Raw genomic sequence first — 21196 nt, forward strand, 5'->3', positions numbered from 1 at the left:
TAGACTTACCAAATCTTTCCAAGTTGCCTTCCTTGAGGTTTATCATAACCTAATTTGCCTTTGTAAGAAAAATATTAGGGGGAATAGGTAGTCTCAGAACTACCCTATAAGTAAGTCAGTGGCATTTAAACCCTATTGATCCTGATCTATAATAAGAAACACATTCAACATCATGACACAGTACAAACAGATAAATATATAAAGAAAGACATACATGTACAAGCTTAATGAAACAATACTTAACTTCAATAAATGGTGACTGAAGGAATAAAACAATGAAGAAAGGGTACAATCACACAATGATGTATTATGTAGTCAATAATTATATTTACCTATATTGTTTAATAACATGCTACAATGCTCACAACAAAACAATATAATGAAATATAGAGAAATGTTGAAAAACAACAGTGGTATATATAATATGACCCCAATTTTTAATCCAACACTACCTTGATAAATTCAGACTATTAATGCAATTTTTCTTTAGGATTCAGGACATTCTTAAAGTGAACAGTCCAAATTGTATTTGCTGTCTAGAAAACCAACAGAAGTGTAGCTTATCAAGGAAAAAGATGAGAAGCTCCATAAAATTATAAAAAGGAAGCAACAAATTCCTGAAAAATTTAGACCATGTACACAATCAATTCATATTGTTCAAAGCATGAGTCCTAATTAATTAGAATAACAGCAGTAACAACTATTAAGTACCTGCATTTGGGAATACTCTTATTGCCTACCAAAAAGAAAAATAAAACTACACCAATTCATAATTTATGCCATGCAACTAATGAGAAATATTGAGTTACTTTACAATCCATCATTCACCTATCTGAGCACATAATATTTTTCAGCCCTATGAAATACCAAGTTCTTTAATAGGGCATGGAGATCCCAAAGATGAATTAGACAGAAATCTTGCCCTTAAGCAGGTCAAAACCTACTGGGTGATCCAGGTAGGTAGACACTGACATTGAATGTGATAAGCTCAACACTGAAGTTGTACATAAAGGCTACGAAGACAGTGCAGCTGTAGGTCTTGGGTAAATGGGAAAAGTTTTCAGAGAGGTTGATTCTAGGCTGTCTTAAAAACTGTGAGGAGGTTGCCAAATAGACAAAGGAGGGAAAGGCATTCCCAGGAGAGAATAACAGGTTCAAAAGCTTAGAGATGGAAGAGGATGCTTCCAATCTGGGAATCCCAGACATTTTAGTAGAACTAGAATGCAAGATACTAGATCTGTAGAGAATGGGAAGAGTTGAAGTAAGCAGGGGGAAAAAGTGTCTTAATGCTATTCTAAATAGTTTGGGTTTCATAGCAGAGAGCCCAGAAAATATTTGGGACTGAGTAGTGACATGATCTCATTTGTGTATCAGAAAGATTATTCTAGGATGAATTTGGAGGCACTGAGGCTTATTTTGGAGTTGGACTTAGACCTGCAGACACTTATCACTGTTAGATGGGCCCTTCCAAGAGAATTTGTAAACAGAGATCTTGCTCTCAGGAAATTTAACATTTAATTCATAGAACCCAAAATCACAGCCTACAGAGAAATGCACTTTCTTAAGGTAATGTGTTCTGTTTGCCAGCACTTTGACACAAAGAGAAGTGCTGGCTTCATAGAAATAATTAATCCTCTTTTTCTGCCACTGGGATAAACAAAGGAAAGAAAGAAATAGATGTTATAAAAAAATAAAATCCAAGGCAGATCAAAGGGGATGTGGCGGAGGATTCAGCAACTGCCACCCTTAAGCAAAGAACAGTAATGAAGAAATGAGTTTTGGCAGCCTAGCCAATGGGATATGAAAGAAATTAATCCCGAAGGGATGTAATGACCTGAAAAAAATGATGAGCAAAGTCCAGAAGGATTAGAAGAAAGAAAAAGGCAGCAGACAGGTAAGAGCCATTTTCTTCTCTGTCTTGTCTATCTGAAGGATATCAGATAGTCCTCAGCGATGGGAGCTGTGGAAAAGCAAGCCAAAGAATTGATTTGGCAAAGTCATTTAAATTTCTTATTCTTCTTATTCATTTTTTCTCGTTAAGGCAAAGAATGGTACTTTAATTTACTGTCATAACACAGGAACTAGCTATTGATAAGATTAACCTTGTTCAATCATGATGAAATTCAGTAAACTCAGGACACATTTTTGGATACTTTGTTTTCCCAGCTAAAGATAAGAGTTGCTCCTAAGACTCAGACCTTTAGTATAATGTACACTGATGGTTTTTATTTTTTTCTTTCCAGAATGGACTTCAGTGCAACAGGGAATTAAACTGAAATCATTAAATTCTTTCTGCTTAGCACTTTAGAGAAAATTTCTATCAGCCTGCCTAAGGTTAGTGAATACTGTAATAATAAATTGTTAATACTGAAGTCTTTGGAATTTATCTGATTTTCAAATGATTTTTTTCACCTCATTAAGTAGAGTCTTATTTTCTCTGAGTTCTTTGGGTAAGAAACAGAGACAATAATCTTGATGGTCTTAAAGCAAAGGCTCTCAGATAAACTTTTTTATTTTTGAGACGGAGTCTCACTCTGTCTCCCAGGCTGGAGTGCAGTGGCGCAATCTTGGCTCACTGCAAGCTCCGCCTCCCAGGTTCATGCCATTCTCCTGCCTCAGCCTCCCGAGGAGCTGGGACTACAGAAGCCTGCCACCACCCCGGCTAATTTTTTTGTATTTTTAGTAGAGACAGGGTTTCACCGTGTTAGCCAGGATGGTCTCGATCTCCTGACCTCGTCATCCGCCCGCCTCAGCCTCCCAAAGTGCTGGGATTACAGGCGTGAGCCACGGCGCCCGGCCTCAGATAAACTTTTGGCCTCAGATAAACTTTTAAATGCCATGGAAGTTCATAAGGACAGGTCAGAATCTGCAGACAGTTGAGTAATAGCTCCAAAGACTTGGGTTCTTATTTATTAACTGATTTGTGCTTTTTATACACAATTTGACGTCTGTTTCTTGGGCCTAACGTGACAGTGCTCACCATGGGAAACTGAAACCAGGAATTTAATCTCAAATTTCTGAAGACATTCAGACTTATCCATTGTTCTATGAATCAGGAATATGTTAACAGAAGTTCTGGTTATTGAAGAATCTTCAGAATGAAAATCAAATTATGAAATCCCCAGGTAATTTGACTTCATGGCCAGCATTGCATCTCAGAATATTTTTTATAAGGGCTACAAAAGTGTGACTATTAAGCTTTTAAAAAAAATTAAAATATCTTTTCAGTTGTAATATTCCCACCATGGGTGAAGTCTGCTGTCTGATTGCTAGAATTTTGGCCGATGCCTTCTTGCACCTCTATGAACCCGACTCCAGCCCCTCCCCTCTAATTACTGCCCACAGTGAAGAGAGAATTTCTGCCCACTCCCTGCAAGCCCAGGTAGGGGAGCATTTGCCAAGAAGCCTGCCCTTTACCGCAAGTGTGCAAAGTGGCAACCGCAGCTGACAACATCCCCAGGGGCCCTGTCTTGTGGTCTGGCCGCAGTGAGAATTTTCTCGGCTTCCTAGGGGAGAGGGCACTGACCCAGCTTTCAGCTGGAGCCTGCTGCTGGAGAACTAATTACTAGTGTGAAAAAAGCCTGGATTCAGGTCAATGTTTTCTCAAACATTGTTTACATTTGATTTTAAATCCATACAATGGCAGAATTGACATTTGCAGCTTGCTACCACATTCATTTGTGAGGTTTTATGTTACTTTATTTTTAGGTTGGAAATGTTTGAGGAGGCATTTATCATGAAAGCCGTGGCCTTTGCTCCTAAAGCTTCGTCTCACAAGTACAATAACAAAAACTGCTAATTAAAAGAGGGAAAACAACCAGGAGTCAAACACAAAGGGGCATCCCTGCCTCATCAGCACAGAACAATCGACCGGCTCCCTTCACTGCCCATGCGAGGCTCCATGTGAGGAAGCCTGCTCTGCCCTTCCAGGTATGTCCATGTAAATCTGTCTATGAGCATGAGTGGGAGAAAACACTCTTCTCTTATAAAATAATAATCTGAGATAGGCTAGGTTATTCTCAATAACAAAGAAGCCTCAAATCGCTGTGATTTAAACCAACAACATTTCTTTCTCGCAGTCCCAAAAGCCACTGTGCGTCCAGGTGACTCCAGAGCTACTGCCCCCATAGAGTGACTCAGTCACCCAGAGGGTGACTCAGAAATCCAACGGTGGTGCCACCATCACCTGGAGGTACCATCTGGAAAAGTGCCCTCCTTGTTCTATCTGGCAGGAGAAAAAAATGCTAGTCTCTCACTAGTAATTCAATGCCTCATACAGGAAGTAATGAATGGCACAGCTTGTTGGCCAAACAAGTCACATGACCCCTACCTAATTGTAAAAGGACAAAAAAAGCTCATTCTCCTATGAACTTAGATGAAGAGAATCAGATATGGGTGATCACTAAAGGTCTATATATAACACCTTATCTATATTTGGTCCTTATCAGTTTATATAGCACTTGCATACATTTGAAATAATTGTTTTTTTAAAGAGATATTCTTTCTGTTTTTAAATAAATGTTAACACTCCTCACAGATACCTCTATTTTCCTTTTCTCATCCCTTTGTGATTTGCATTGTCACGTTGATGCTTGTTCCTACCAAGTATCAGATAAGTCAGTTGAGACAAGAAAGTTTATTTCACTGAGAATATTTTGATATTTAACATTGCTCTCAAAAATATATCTTGGTACTCTCTACCACCATGAACTATCACCCAAAAGACAATTTTATAAGCTCTAAATTAAAAACAAATAAAATGAGGCTCTGAAACAATAAATATGTTTCAACAGTTGACTAAATTAGAAAGAGTTTGAACTGGAACCATCTGAAATCTCACCCAACCCTTTTTCACCACTCACAGCTACTCTAAAATGTAAAAGGGAACACATCAGTTCCAGTTTATGGAGAAATTAAACCACAAAATTTTAAGTAACTTGCCCAGGATCACACAGCTGATTAGCAGCAGAACCAGAATTCAGCCCAGGTATCCTGGCTGTACATCCTACTTTAACCACCATGTTACACAGCTTCATGTACCAAAAAAAAAAAAAAATCCAATATTGCTTTCTATTAAAGAGAACATCAAAGAACATGAATCTGGACAGGCAGACAGAGCAGATGTGTTGATGGGCCTTTTGTGCCAGGCTACGAAGATTTGACTAATACTCCAACCGAAGGGCCAACAAATGTTTTCTGTAAAGGGCCAGGCAGTAAATATTTTAGGTTTTACAGGCCCTATAATCTCTTTCACAACTACTCAACTCAGCCATTGCATTAAAGTGGCCATAACAACAAATAAATGAATGAAAGTAGCTGTATTCCGTTAAAGATTTTTTTATAAAACTGGACAGTAGGCTAGATTTGGCTCATGGACCGTGGTTCTCTCTGCTGTAAGCAATGAGGGTCCTTGAAGAATTCTGACATGATCAAACTGGTGGCAGATAGTGGTGTTTTGGTGTATGGCTGGTGGGGGGTGAGAATAGAAACAGAAAAACAGTCTATATAAGAAGTAATGGGCGCCAGAATGGAGATAGTAGTGGTAAAGAAGTAGAAGAAGGCATGGCCAAAAGGTGTCTTGTGCTGGTACAACTGATGAGTTTGTCATTCAATTGGCTGTGTAAGAAGAAGAAGGGGAATATGTCCAGGAGTACTATGGGCACACAGTATTATTAGGCACCTGTTAGGAAATACAAGAGAGAAAGTAAGGTGAAGAGAGTTGAAGGGTAAAGACATATTTTGGGATGGAGCAAGTTTAAGATGTCTGGATTGACTTGGCATAGATGCCTATTAGAAACTTGAGTACATATATCTAGAGCATGGAAGAGAAGTCTAGGTGGAAGATACAAGCTCAGAGTCAACAGCATAAAAAGGGATTGTAAACTGTTGGAGTTTTGGAGACAGCCCCAGAACTAAAGAAGAGAAAGTGGCTGATGAGAGATTTATGTTATCAATATTTACATAAATATCAGTATTTAGGGAGGAAAAGACACCTAGAAAGAAGACCAAGAAAAGGCACAAGGAACTCAAGGAAGAAACAAAATGAGGAAGGAAAATTTAAGAGGAATGGAGAGATCAGCAGTGTTAAACGTTACAGGGAAAATCAATAAGATGACTGAGAGGGTCCACGGAGGTCGACCACTACAAGGTCATTGGCGACATTAGAAAGAAGAGTCACACCAGATTGGAGAGAAAGAATGTCAACTTCAATCAACTGAAGACAAAGATGGAGACAAAGGCGATAAGGCAGTATCTCCTTAATTCCAAAGAAGGGACTACAGACACTCAGGTGAGAAGGGTTTGGAGAAGATATAGGAAAGAAAGAGAGAGAAAAACCAATGGAAAGATTCCTGAGAAGTGCAAGCGGGTGTAATCCAGAACACAAGGAAATGGGCTTACTTCGGGTCTGAGGAGGCAGTGGAGCAGGAGAAATGCTTAGGCACGCACAGACACAGACGCTCTGAAGTGGAGAAGCAGAATGGTGAGGAGTTCAAAAGCTGAGGAGCTTCTAGCTCGCCTGTGAATAAGAAGCGGTGTCGCTGGTGCCTCTATATGTGAAGACCCAAGAAAGGTGGTAGGCAGGGTTAATTCACAGTGTCAAAGAAGCCACCAACCATTAGTACCTAGAAGTTAAAAAGTCCAAATATTTTTGGTAAAAATTTGTGGGTACAGAAAAGGCAGTTGCCACTGCCTTTATAAAAGTTTAGCTAAGGCTCCTTTTAGAATAGTCCCAATAGCCATTTCTGTCTTTGACATGTGGCTGGCAAGTCCTTCACTACATGTTTCTACTTAGACCAGTTACAGTGCCTGAGATTCCACCATTAGATGGTGTTTCTGTGGAGTACCTTGAGGATAAGGATTAGTTAACAACTAGTTTAGAGGGATTAGTTAACAACTAGCTGATGGCAAGAAGGGTAGTCTGAGTTTGAGGGTGGCTAGGAAGTCAAAAGAAAGTGAACTGTACTGAAGTCTAAGTTCACTTCCTCCATGTGGAGACATGTGCTGACCTCGAGCATAGCTCTGTGGTCATGTGTCTGTTTGCAACAAACCCCAAAAAAGCATGCATCCTTTGCAGCTATATGATGCCTGTCAAAGTCAAACTCATGAAAGGGAAAAGTAAATACACCTGGGCTTTACTATATGTTATTTAGGCAAAGATGTTTTTAACAATATCCTGCAAAATAATACAAATGTGGAAGGAGAGATTTATCTCTATGGGCACAGCAGGGCTGAAAGACACAGTGCAATTGTTTTTAGAGATTAGAAAGACAAGGCAGGCTTGAGAGGAGGAACATTCACGTCAGGAATCTGCTCTAATGGTGGGGTTACTGGGAAGGAGCATTCTGATTATGGGGTGATGAGGTGGTGAGATGCAGTAGAAGCCTCCCATACAAAACACCTGGGTTGACTAAAAGTGCAGCATTGGCCTGATGCAACACTTCACCTAATCTGAAGTGCAGATGGGGAGCAACAATGGACCATCCTGAAATAAAGAACCCTGGCAGAGCTGCAGACCTTTCCTGCCTGATCCGTCAGACACCCTAGAGTAGACACAATGGATGAAGGCAAATTGCAACAGGCCAGTGGAGGGGTAGCTCAAAGAACCTTTTCTTCCTTCCTGTGCCCCAGGTAAATTCTTCTCATCTTTAACCCAGTTCCAATGTCAGCCCCTTGTAAAAGTTTCCCTGGTGGTCTTCCTACACTTCAACAGAATTCAATGATCCTACCTCTGTGCTTCCGTTAAATGACATTTGTGCTGGGAGTTCAGCAGCTCATGCAAGTAGATTGTGAAGGAGTCCTCCTTTCTCAATGGATGCCCAACCCTGCAAAGACAGGCCTGTGCCTCCTCATTTGGCCTCCTTCCCTCAGTCCCTAATCCCCAGAACAAATGTAATAAATGTGTGTTGAATTGAAATACATATGGGAACTTAGCACATTGAGAATGTTTTTGAAACTTCAATTTCTTGGCCAATTACACATAAAATTAGGAAAGTGGCTGAATGACAAATATTAAACTCTGAATCCTCTTCAAAATGTATAATAATGTGTGAAGCAGCAGGAATCTTTATTCTCTCCCTCTAAAAATATAATTATAGAGCAAGAAATGACTGGAAGAATCATTTGCTCCATTCTCCTCTGCCTCCAAGTAGGTTATATTAAATTATCCAAGACAGATGAAAATCTATTCTTCTTTTTTTATTTCAAAGAAAGAGATTATAATTCTACCATTCTAGTATAAAAAAGGGCCTCAGCAAAGCACTTCATTCTGACTTCTTCTCTAAAGCCCACATGGTACATTTTAAGTTGAGATAGAACCAGCTAGAGAAGACTTCTTTTGTCATAATTTTATAAATTATAAGTACACATATCTATATATAATATGGATATAATAGATATATAATATAGCTATATATTTTATATGTGTGTGTTAATGTGTATTTATAGAGAGAATTTGTTCTATTTTTTTTTTTTTATTTTAAGTTCCAGGATACATGTGCAGAACGTGCAGGTTTGTTACATAAGTAAACGTGTGCCACTGTGGTTTGATGCACCTATCAACTCGTCATGGTTCTATTTAAATTTGAAACTTTCTTTTGTTATAATTTTACAAATGATACATTTATATATAACAGATATATAATACAAAATTATATTTTGTGTGTGTGTGTGTGTGTGTATGTGTGTGTGTGTGTGTGTGTACAGGGGAGTGAGAGAGAGAACTGACTCAAATTTGAAATTTCTGAAATGCTTAAGTAAGAAATTTCTTTACTTGAAATATCAAACTCTAGGAATTTCTAGTCTTGATCAAATCCGGCTTTAGACAGGCAACATGCTGGTAAAAAGACACACTAAGACGGCTCTTTAAGTCATTATATACACAACAGTCATTCCTAACTCACACTTCCCTGTGTCTGAAGTTTTAAGGTGGGGGAACATATACATTTATTCTTTTTGTTGTCATGAGGATTTTAGATCTGAATTTTTAGTCATCAGTAATCATTCCTATTAACAAATAGAAGAAAAGAACTGAGGGTTGGGTAGTGAACAGAATAGTGGAGTATGGATTGAGGTTGTTTCAGTGAAATCTTGAGTGATTCAGAGAACCAAGGAAAGGCCAACAAGACAGTCCTGCGTTAATGGATGAAGGAGCGGTCAGGTGGGACACCATCAGGAAACCCAGGCCACATTCCAGCCTGGGAACCTGGAGGGCTCTCTGCGGACCACCCACCTAGTTACTCCAAGGAGGTTACGTACAGGCTCTCAGTCTACTCCATGTCTTTATTTCTGGGACTACAGTCATATTTCAGGAATGGACTTTCATAACTTGGAGTGAAAACAAAACAGAGAGGCATTGGATATTTGGAAAGAGGAAAAAAGGAAAACAAGACGTTTATTAGGATAAAATGCAACATGATAGATTTTAGAGTAGTTTCCAGGGTCAGCTGGGTTTAGATCCCAGTTCTGCCATTTATGTGTGAATTGGACAAGTCATTTTTGTTTTTGTCATCCATAAAGTGGGGACAAAGTTATCTTTCTTACAGAATCTTATGAAGATTTAATAAAATATATCTGGAATATAGCCTGTGCTCAATTAGTGGTAGTTATATTATTTGTAACAAAGAAAAACACATTTATCATATTAAAACTGGGGAGACAGATCCTGAAGGAGATAAACAATAAGTAACCTAATTATTAGAACATTACTACTGAATAACAATATGTAAAACAGCATTGACTTAATGTGTTTCACTGTTATATTTCAGTAGAAGTGAAAAATTAGATTTAAGGTTTTCCTTAACTTTACTTGCTTCCTTCTCTATAAGATACTGTTTGCCTCAAATTTGACTTTTACAGTGAAGGTGTATTCAATAGAGTAATACCCACCCAGATCCACCCTTGTGAGACTCAATGCCCATTCCCCCAGCTGCAAGACACTGGCACGTTTGCAGCTAAGGGCTCCCAACTGAGTCCCTCCCCAGGAGAGAACTGCCGTCAGCCAAACAGAGGTGACTTGCCTAAAATCATCCTCCTCCCTAGGGCAGCCCACCCCTAGCACTGTTTGATGGTGGGTTACCAAGACCCAGCCCCTGGTCTCCACTGGGGACAACTCTGAAGAGTTTCCCATGGGGCCAGTGGAGGCCTTGCTGCAGCAGGATCAGTTCTCTTTGCCCCCTCCTGCTTCCTTTACTCCCACAGGGGCTTCCTTTACTCCTACTTCTCCACAGAGATAAGACAGAAGAATGTGGGGAAGGAATGAGTGCCCAGCATGCTGCTGAGGCTAGTGATGATATCAAAAAATTCCCTGGAGGGAGTTTGAGACCAGCTTGGGCAACAAAGCAAAACCCCATCTCTACATACATACATACATACATACACACATACATACATACATACATACATACATACATACATACATACGTACAAATTAGCTGGATGTAGTGGTGCGAGCCTGTAGTGCCAGCTACCCAGGAGGCTGAGAGGCAGGAGGATTGCTTCCGCTGAGGAGTTCAGGGCTGCAGTGAGCTATGATTGAGTTATCATTGTGGACAACAGAGCAAGACCCTCCAAAGAATCTCTTAAAAAAAACAAAGGGTTTTTCTTTTTAAAGAATGAAAACACCCTGAAGGAACTGGAGTGGGGCTGGGAAGAGAGTGTCCAAGGATGAGATGCGGAGTGGTTTGACAGGGATATGGAAAAGCCCAGAATCAGGGAAAGACCACAAAATATGACAACTTGACAGCAGAATTGCATACCGAAAGAACACAGGCCCCAGAGGCAGCCCCACCTGGCTCCTCCATGTTGATGGGATGAAATGCTGGCCTTACATGGGTCATCACTATTCTAACACCCTATTTAACCAGTTTTCTTCTTTGGAAGTTTCTTCTCAACTCTAAACTAGAAATCAAAGAGAAGACGGAATGAAATTGTCTTTACAGGCTTTTTCCCCCTGGGCCAAAGCAATTCCATAACAACAATACTTAGTTACCCTGCAGCTTTCTCTTCTTTGGACAAGAAAAGCTGTTTGTTTTGACCTCTACAGCTTGTCAAACCACTCATTTTATTCCAAGTTTTATATTGTAGCAAATACTTATAAGGCATTTTTAAACTTTGCAAATTCTGGTTTACATCTTAAAGAGTGTAAATATGCTGTGCCACCAATTCTGTGCTATTTAAAAGGGCAGATTTTATACTTTACTGTAAAGCTACTTGCCAGGTGTGCTGTAAACATGAATGTCTGAGAGTTTCCTGGCTGGGCCTTCATAATTTGGGGTTTATTGAGCATTTTATTATTTCTAGCTAATAGTAGTGTTCTGTTTCTGGTTGTGCTTAGAGTTGCTGGTGAGTTCAATAAACCCAGGTTCCTTCTGCTAGAAGTTGGTGTTAGGTCCCACCTGGCAGTTCTGGGGTTCTTTCTGTGAAAAATTTGAATAAAGGCTTTTGTTTCCCCCTTTGCAAGAGGTGAGACATGTTTTTCTTCCTTCTCCTCACTCCATCACAAGGGCTTTTAAGTTATTAAGAAATCATCAGCATGTGTATTATTCAACAGCTGTGACAGATCATTCTCCCATCAATTAATGTCACTGAAGGGACTATTAGAAACCACTGGGGGTTGGAGAGGGAGGAGAAGGACTCTTCTTGGAACCACTGCTACCTGTGTCTGAGAGGGCAGATCAGAGACAATATATAGGCCACCTGCCCTCCCTCTCTCCAAGGTTCAGGGTGGAGCTATGAGGGCTTCACTTCAGTCTAGAGCCTGGATATGGGTGCAACTGGCTTGTTCTCCACCTCAGGTCCTTCCAGCCTGGACCTGGCTCCTGCTCCTTGCACCAACCACAGTCAGAGAAAGGAGTAGATGAAACAGCTGGCCACTCATTAGCAAGTCCACACCCACTGAAATGTGGGCAAGCATGTGTATTTGTTTGCTAGGGTTGCTATAACAAAGTACTACAAACAGGGTGGCTTCAGCAACAGATGTTTCTCCTCTCACCATTCTAGAGGCCAGAAGGGCCATGCTCCCTCTGAAGGTTTTGGGGGAGGGTCTGTTCCAGGCCTCTGTCCCTTCTAGGAGCCCTGGCTTGTAAATGGCCATCTTCTTCCTGTGTTTCTTCACATTGTGATTCCTCTGTGTCCAAATTTCTGCTTTTACTAAGGACACCGAGTTAGATTAGTACCCACACTGATGACCTAGTTTTAACTTGCCTAGCCCTGTCAAGACCCTATTTCCAAACAAGGTCTCATTCTGAAGTACTGGGGGTTAGGACTTCAACATACCTTTTTGAGGAGACACAATTCAACCCATAGTAACAGGCAGTGTTCTGGCTCTGATAATTGGATGGTTGGCTTTCCATGGAGAAAATTCTTTCAAAATTGAGATAAAGCCAAGAAATTCTTCAAACAGAGCCTAGCAGAGTGATTAATTAGACTCTAAGTGTACAGCCCTGGGGCCAGACAAAGCTACCTGCAAATTACAGCTCCCCCGGTGCCTGGCCAGGCTGCCTTTCTAAGCCTCAGCTTCATCACCTGCAAACTGGGTTGAATAATGGTTTACATTTTCAGAGGATTGTTGTAAAGATGAAGTGAGAAACTATGAGGAAAACAGTGGGTACTAAAGTTTGGGCACATGTTCTAGGTTCAGTAAACCTATTAGCTATTTTCCAATGTCTAGATTTCTCCTTCCCTACCGTATTAGTCCCTTCTCATGCTGCTATGAAGAAATATTCGAGGCTAGGTAATTTATAAGGAAAAGAGGTTTAATTGACTCACAGTTCCACATGGCTGGGGAGGCCTCAGGAAACTTACAATCATGGCGGAAGGCACCTCTTCCAAGGGTGGCAGCAGAAAGAATGAGTGGCAGCAGGGGAAATGCCAGACACTTATAAAACCATCAGATTTCATGAGAACTCACTATCACGAGAACAGCATGGGGGAAACTGCCCCCATGATTCAGTTACCTCCCACTGGGTCCCTCCCATGACACATGGGGATTATAGGTATTAAAATTCAACATGAAATTTGGGTGGGGACACAGCCAAACCATATCACCTATTAAAAAGAAAAAAAAAAAAAAAACTCAGAGCACAGCTTGTGAGTGTTACTCAAAGCATGGTGGAAAACCCCAAAGATTTATTTAGGGATAGTCCCAACTACCCACAGAGGCAGAGCAAACAAAGACAAGCAAATCAGTAGATTTAGAGCTTACCTTCCACCCAATCTAGAAACCCATTGTTTCTAAGTTCTTCTATGTTTGTAATTTCCAAACAGAGACCGGTCTTTTTCTCTTCCTTTAAGAAAAAAACAATAAAAACGAAATTCACTGGCTGAGTCAATAGACTCCGTGGGTCATGGAAGCAAATTACAAAGCTAGTACAATGGATTTGAGAAATTGCTAATGTAATCAGATTTTGAACAAACTTTGGAAATGGTCCCTATTTCACAGCACCAAGGGTATTTTTATAAACTGTTCATTGCTTTCAACAACCCCATTATAAGACCAACTAAAAGTGAGAAAAGCAAATTCAGCAGCAACCTATCTTGTCAAGACAAAGAAACCTTCCTCACTGTTTTCAGAGAAATATTCAATACCGAATAATCCTATTTAAATTTTGCCACTCATAGAAGTTTAGAAAGAGGGACTTACATAAGAAATTGCAGCAGGGCAGGGAATGAAGAGTGCAGGAGAGACATACAAAAAGCCTTTATTGTTTTCTATGTAGGTAAACAGAAAAGATGTCTGGATCGTTCATTGTAGGACATGAAAATTATGAGACCCCACATCTTTACCTCTTAATATAATATTGAACCTCTTATCATAAAATGCTATTAAATACTTTACTTGCCCCACCACTAAAAGATGCATGCTGGGCTTAATACCTAGGTGATGGGTTGACAGGTGCAGCAAACCACCGTGGCACACATTTACCTATGTAACAAACCTGCGCATCCTGCACATGTACCCTGAAACTTAAAATAAAAAGTAATAAAAAAGAAGCAGTAAAGTATAGAAGTCCCTAAGACCTTCCCTAGTACAGGGTAGATAATCAATGCAAACTTTTTATTTGTTTTCATATGTAAGATGATCCATATGTCCTAGTTGCCCTGGACAGTCCCAGTTTATACTTGTCACCTTAACAAAAATATTTATAATGCCCATTTTCACTCTCAAAAATGTCCCAGTTTGGGCAATACATTGTATGGTCCACCTTTTTGATATGCGACCTAGAGAGTCTGCAAATACCCCACCATTTAGGTTTCTTTTTATTTTTGAAAATGACACATGAACTTGCCTTGGGATTTTATTTTCTTTGGGGACCTATTTTATTTAATATTAAATATAAGCATTTTTTTCCTTATGTGATGTTAGACTTATTTCTGTAGTGGTTTCGTTCCCCTTATTCTTATAAACTAAGATTTTCTGAATAGATTTATCAATTGACAACATTTTTTGAGTAGCTACTATATGCAAAATAGTTTAATATCCGATACAGGCAGTATTCTGAAACAAACTTGAAAGCTCTGATTCAATTGAAAAATATATTCTTCCTGTGCTCACTAAGTTACTTTTGTAAGCCTTTTTGATTTGGAAATATATTGTCTTTAAATGGGTATAAAAATCAGGCAGTCCTCCAGGCTGGGCATTAGGAGACCTGGGTTGTCTGCCCAGCTGCTAATTAGCCATGGAACACTAGGAAGGCCTTTCCCCCTCGCTGCATCCCAGTTTCCTCATCCATAAAATGAGAGAATCAGATGAGGTAATCTCTAAGGTTCCTTTCGGCTCTAAAATTCTATGATCTGATGAACCATCTCTTTTCAATTGATTAAAATGAGTGTTAAGAGATTTCCTAAAGTAAACAAGCCAGGCATGATTCCAACTTGTTTTGTTTTTCCAGTTTTCTTTCCATTCAGTTTTCCCTCTCAGACTATTTGGAGGAATATAAAGTAAATATCTCTGAATTGTTACTGAGAAATAACACCTGGAATTTTCGCCATTTAGAATGCCTAATACATTGCCATGTTAAGTCATTTATACAGAAAGCTGAAAGGCAACAGACTGTACAAAAAGTTGACTTAGCTTTAGCTCAGGTGTGGATACAACCACCTTGTTTTGTTATTTTGTAAGTTTGTGATCTTATATCTTGTAACTTTGAGGGATAAAAAAGCAAAGGGGGATTGATGGAAAAAGAAACCCCAGTGTTCTCACCACCAACCAACAGATGAGCCCACCCAAACCAGCTTAATGTTTCTGGTGAACTAGCCCCTTCATGGATGATCACAGTCTCTCAGCATCAAATGACCTTATTTGTTGGCTCAGTGGTTTAAAAGAAGCATTCTATTTCCCATGGTTGTGCTTCAATATGCTCTAATCCATAGGGATTACTGTGGCAGAATGTTTCAACCCACTGGAGCTTTCTGGCACAAGTAATTTTCATCAGAGCAAAACTCATAGTCAATTTAGGACCAACAAAGATACTAAAATCTTAAAGTTACATGGTAGGAGCCAAAATCAAATTATCTCAGTAACTTAGTTTTCTTTTTTAAAAAAAAATTTACATTTTTGAAAAGTATTTTAACACCACAAAAAAGCTGCAACTCAAACCTTGGTGGAATCAAAAAGGAATTTGCGTTTTGATTTTATGTACAGCTGGTGGCCAATGTGTTTATCTTGGTAGGGAGAGGGGGCAGGTGGGGGATAAAAATAGTAGTTAAGATAAAAGAATGATCACAGTATGGCATTTCTAAATAAATGAGATAAAGTGGATGGCAGAATTGAAAATCTATGTACTCCACAGGAAGCAGGTGTGGGAATAGAAGGAGGCACCACTCATCTTCTGCAGAAAAGCAAAATGAAGACATCATCAGAGAGCAGCACTCATTGGAAGTAGCTCCTCGGGTTCCCTTCTAATGTCAGGGTGAGAATTCAGGGCTCTCTTGAGAGCACTATTATGTGCCTACTATGTGTCAGGCAGAACTGGCTACAAAATTCAAGGGGCCCAGAGTGAAATGAAAATGTGAGGTACCTTGTTCAATAATTATGAAGAATTCTAGGATGGCGAGAGCAGAGCATTAGAGGAAAGGCAAGGTCCTGTGCAGCTGCGCGGGTCACACACCCATGCAGCCAACCCTGGTGCCAGGCACAGCTATACCCACATTAGCTCCTGTCTTTTACTGAATAGCACAATAACTCTGCAATACTGGAGGTTTTTAACATTATCCAGGCTTTACAGAAGAAGCTACCGAAGCTCAGAAAGTCATTTTATTCAAGGCCAATCAGCTAATTAGAGCTCAGGTCTCCTACTAAACACCAGAATCACAGCTAGCCACTCCACAACATACAGAGGTCAGTAAACCACTCAACATTGTATCTGAACTTCCAGTCTTCCAATATCTGAACTCAATCAGGTAAGTCTCCTAAACACGCCCTACCTGTTCTATCTGTGCTTTGCTCAGTTTTCACCAAATAGGTATTAGCTAAATAAACATGTGGATGAACACAGCATCCATTACAATAGTAATATAATATTATCATACTTACATTGTATAATATAATAATGTACTTCATTCAATTCTCTACATTTTTTAAAGTATTGTCACATATTTTATTTTTTTCTAGGAAATTTTTATTGCTGAGTGTTTTAAATTATACTCATGATTTATAAATTCTCACAATTCTGAGCCTGCTATAGGACAAGAGATGTATCTGCCAACATTCATTCAAAGTTGTTGGCTAAGCACTGTGCTAGCCACTGGGGATGCATGCATATACACAAATGCTCTAGTGCATTTCTTTCCCTTAAAGGCCTTGCCATCTAACAGGACTGACAGGAAAACTACAGAAAGCACAGTAGTGTGGTAAGTGCACGAGTAGGGTATGGACAGGCTCAGCAGGGTCTGAAATAAATCAGACCTGGGACTTGTGAAATGTTTACAAAGAACAAGATGCTTTTTAAAGGTGCATAAAAGGTGTTTGTTTTGTTTTGTTTTTGAGACAGGGTCTCACTCTGTCGCCCAGACTGGAGTGCAGTGGCAGGATCTTGGCTTACCACAACCTCTGCCTCCCAGGCTCAAGTGATTCTCCCGCCTCAGCCTCCCAAGTACTTGGGATTACAGACGCACGCCACTACCACCTGATTAATTTTTGCATTTTTAGTGGAGATGGGGTTTCACCATGTTAGCCAGGCTGGTCTTGAATTCCTGACCTCAAATGATCCACCAGCCTCAGCCTCCCAAAGTGCTGGGATTACAGGCATGAGCCACTGTGCCCGGCCATAAAAGGTATTTTGATGAAAAACCATGGGAGAAAACTTCAGACGAATAACATTTGCAAAAGTCCATAAATTATTCCATGGTGTGGCATGGAGAAAGGGCGCATGTGTGGAGTGGTATGAGACAAGAGGGAAGAACATGAGGACAGACTGGCCAAAGACCTCACATACACAGCCCAGGGTACTGGCTTTCTCCCGGAAGTTCTGAGGAATCATTCTGGAGCCAAATGGCTTTCCCCCGACATAAAACTGGCTCTCAATTAGGGAACACTTAGAAATGGAAATCCTAGACTTCATGGCTAAGTAACGGCCCCAGCTGGGCACCGTGGCTCAGGACTGTAATCCCAGCACTTTGGGAGGCCGAGGCGGGCGGATCACCTGAGGTCAGGAGTTTGAGACCAGCCTGCCCAACATGGTGAAACCTCCTCTCTACTAAAAATACAAAAATTGGCCAGGTGTGGTGGCAGGTGCCTGTAATCCCAGCTACTTGGGAGACTGAGGCAGGAGGATCACTTGAACCCGGGAGGTGGAGGTTGCAGGGAGCTGAGACTCTGCCATTGCACTGCAGCCTGGGCAACAAGAGCGAAACTCCATCCAAAAAAAAAAAAAAGCCCCCAACCATCCCAGTCCTCTTCATCCTCAGTTGTCTAGAAGAGTTACCCCACAAATGTCTTAAGGGTTCAAAGAATGAGAAGGACCAGACTTCATGGAATTCTTATAAGAACTGGCTTCATACCCAAATGCCCACCCATAATCCCTGGTTCACTAAAATACCAGCCTTACCACCATGATAGGCATTCGATCTGCCTTGCATGATCAAGGATCTTCAGGTCTTGAATAGAGAATCCATTCTCTTTGAAGCCAGATTATCTGCTGTGGCAATTCTGTAGGCTTAATAAGCCTCTAAGTCACCTTCTATACACTTCATCCACCTAAGTCTCGCCAATGTAACTTATTAGTTATTTCTCAACCCTAGCTCCTCTGTATCTTGCTTCCACTTCTGTTATTCCAAATTCCGTCCTAGACAACTGCACCAGCCTCCACTCTAACCTCTAGCTTTAGTCTTCCTCTGCTCAAATCCATCCTGCACACAACTGCCAGAAGGATATATATAAAGCACAAATCTAATCAGTTCCCTTCTCTGCTTAAGGGTCTCCCCATCATCTACTTGCTGAAGTCCAAGCTCACTGGCATGGCATGGAAGGCCACTCATAGCTGACCCCTGCTTACCTGCTCTGACCTGATGCCCTTCCCCAACTCCTCCACCTCACTCTCTGAGTTTCTCTGACATAGAACAGGATGTGATTCTAAACATTTCTCATCTATTCCTTCTGCCTAGAAATCCCATTTTCACGTTCTTCTTCTGGCTGATTCAGAATCATTCTTAAAGAGTCCATTGGGTTTCTACCTCCTCCACCCTTTTCTACCCTAGCCTCTGATAGGTGTCCCTCCTCTATGCTCCCATAAACATCTCCCGTATATACCTTCCTAAGTTGTGTTATCATCATTTACATGTGTATCTTCCCTCTGAGGATGCTAACCATATCACATTTACCCCCAGGGTCTAACAGAGTGCCTATACCAACTGGTGGGAACGTGTGTGTGTACCATGGCTTTCTAACTTAGGGCTCCAAGATGGAAAGGAAGAAATTCGGGTGGCCACCCCAGCCAGCAGCGGCAACCCGCTCGGGTCCCCTTCCCCACTGTGGAAGCTTTGTTCTTTCGCTCTTCACAATAAACCTTGCTGCTGCTCACTCTTTGGGTCCGTGCCACATTTAAGAGCTGTAACACTCACTGCAAAGGTCTGCAGCTTCATTCTTGAAGTCAGTGAGACCACGAACCCACTGGAAGGAACCAACTCTGGACACAACATTTACCCCCAAGGTCTAACAGAGTGCCTATACCAACTGGTGGGAATGTGTGTGTGTATACCGTGGCTTTCTAACTGAGGGCTCCAAGATGGAAAGGAAGAAATCAGGGAGGAGAAGTAGAAATAGATGTTAAGTAGCTATAAAAGGCCATAAAAGAAATAACTCCTTTTTTTCCTGCTGCTTAGAACTAGAAACTTCTTAATTAATAAATATATCCTATATATATCCATGGAGAAAGAAAAAGCAGTGACCCTTGTTCTATCTTGTTTTGTTTCCCACAAAACAGGGTTTCAAAATAATGACTACCCCTTCATGAAAGCCTAAAACCATTAGGAGTTCTTCATTCCCCGGAACAAGATAGGCCATGTGAGGCAACTTTATTAAGACAAAATTGACGAAGTATTGGCAACCCTAACTCTTTTTCCTTTCTGTCCCTAACTAAATTGTTAAAAGGCAACCATCCATTCTGAGACTGTAAGAAAGTCTCACTTGTGGTGACAAGACAGCAAGAAGGGTAAAGGCCCCTTTTTTTTCTTTCTCCAGTACAGCTCAGGACTAATTTGAAGACAAGAAACGATTCCAGTGCCTTGTAAATTGCGATCCACATTGCAACTCCTAGCAGCCACAGTTCAGCACAGTTAGAAGTCAATTAAGGGAGGCCCAGGATTAAGACATCATGGAGACTGAATTATCTCACACCAGCAGGAAGGAGTCGTTTCTTCAGTTCAGGTTCATGGTCTTTGGAGCAGAAGTGGTTTTGAAGAGGAAAGAAAATGCAGGCAATTGTGGGCTGTTGCTTTCTGCAAAACAAGAAAATAAAGAAGATTCCTACCTAAATATATAGCCAACTTGTTAATATTCCTTAGCTAATGAATTTATTTTTTAATACACTTCGGATACAAACTTCAGAACTGTAGGCTCACTGGGAGCAGCTAAAAATACCAAAACATGGAATAAACCACAATATCCTGTAGTTTACTCCATATGTTTTATTTTCTTTCCCTGTTTATGGGATAAAATAGGTGAAATAAAAGTAAAAGTTTAATTACAAGAAATAAAGTGTCAGCAGTGAAGTTCACAGCCTGTTTCTGTACTTGGAGTCATGTAGTATGTTTCTATGGTACAATTGTAGGTTTTTGATTGTGCAATAAAATAATTCCAACAATAAAAACCATTAGTATGCAGGTGTTCTACAATTTTCTCAGGGAGTTTGCAGGAGCTGGCATGCATTTGATAAATGTACTCCCAAACCCCAAGCTCCTAGACAGAGGCATGTGGCTTCACACGGAAAACGCTTTTGCACACCTGCAGTAATCAAGCACAAACATAATGAGAGGCAAGGGAATTGATGGGACACACACCCTTCTCTCTTTAGATGAATGTTGAAGTATTAATGAGGCCTCATACATAGAAAGGCAGTATTGTCATTTGCTAACTTTGCCCACCCACATGTTTAGTAACTATCACTTCAGAGATTCATGTGTGCCTCTTCAAAGAAACATAAAGGGAACAAGTCACATTCCAACTTTATTGCAAAATTAAAAGTCATTCCATGGCCTTTAAAGCAACTCTATTGTCGTTATAAAATGTGGAGATATATTCAGGCAGTTGGTCAACAAACATTTACTGAGCAAGTTCTTATAATGAGCTCTCGTACTAGGCTTGAAAAATGAAGAGGATGTGAACTTAATATCTAAATCCTTACACTGGATTCTGCAGGCCAGCAGAATCCTTTTGCAGCATCCTTTTATACATCACCCACATTTAAGCAGATTGAAGCAGAGCTCTCTGCTGGGTGTGGGTGTGGGTGCAGGTGCCCTCAACACAGCTCTGCAGACACTTGCTGCTCCAGCTGTACACGGCCTGAGAACCTCCTCTCTAAACTCCAGCAAGTCCAGATCTATACAGTATACATTATATATGTCATATAATAATTTCACAAGGAAATTATTACATTCCTAGCATTTAAATATCAAAATATTTTCTTTCCTTTTGTCTGGTTGGTCAGCCTTGATTTGAACCAACTACCTCTTAGACCCAACAGCACAAGAAATGCATAAAATC

The 21196-nt window shown here is 40.4% G+C and overlaps 3 long non-coding RNA genes across 6 annotated transcripts in view; 1 reads left to right on the plus strand and 2 right to left on the minus strand.

Moving 5' to 3' along the window:
• LOC107986956 (uncharacterized) overlaps nucleotides 1-13284 on the minus strand; it is a 90023-nt gene extending 76739 nt beyond the window's left edge. For all 3 annotated transcript variants that reach the window (XR_001745996.1, XR_001745997.1, XR_007061008.1), the window contains exon 1: nucleotides 13202-13284. This is a non-coding gene — a long non-coding RNA (uncharacterized LOC107986956). The remainder of the gene's footprint in view (nucleotides 1-13201) is intronic.
• On the plus strand, nucleotides 1162-15907 carry LOC105375642 (uncharacterized). 2 transcript variants are annotated; one of them, XR_007061010.1, is made up of 6 exons: nucleotides 1162-1894; nucleotides 2244-2334; nucleotides 2974-3125; nucleotides 3229-3382; nucleotides 3709-3930; nucleotides 15789-15907. It is a non-coding gene; the product is annotated as an uncharacterized LOC105375642 (long non-coding RNA). The 2 variants fall into 2 exon arrangements; XR_007061009.1 differs by lacking the exons at nucleotides 2974-3125; nucleotides 3229-3382.
• A 3585-nt stretch (nucleotides 15908-19492) lies between these two features.
• CIBAR1-DT (CIBAR1 divergent transcript) overlaps nucleotides 19493-21196 on the minus strand; it is a 353967-nt gene continuing 352263 nt past the window's right edge. Inside the window, exon 11 of the long non-coding RNA NR_033858.1 lies at nucleotides 19493-19932. This is a non-coding gene — a long non-coding RNA (CIBAR1 divergent transcript). The remainder of the gene's footprint in view (nucleotides 19933-21196) is intronic.

Source organism: Homo sapiens, chromosome 8 (genome assembly GCF_000001405.40).
Source record: "Homo sapiens chromosome 8, GRCh38.p14 Primary Assembly".
Lineage (NCBI taxonomy): Eukaryota > Metazoa > Chordata > Mammalia > Primates > Hominidae > Homo > Homo sapiens.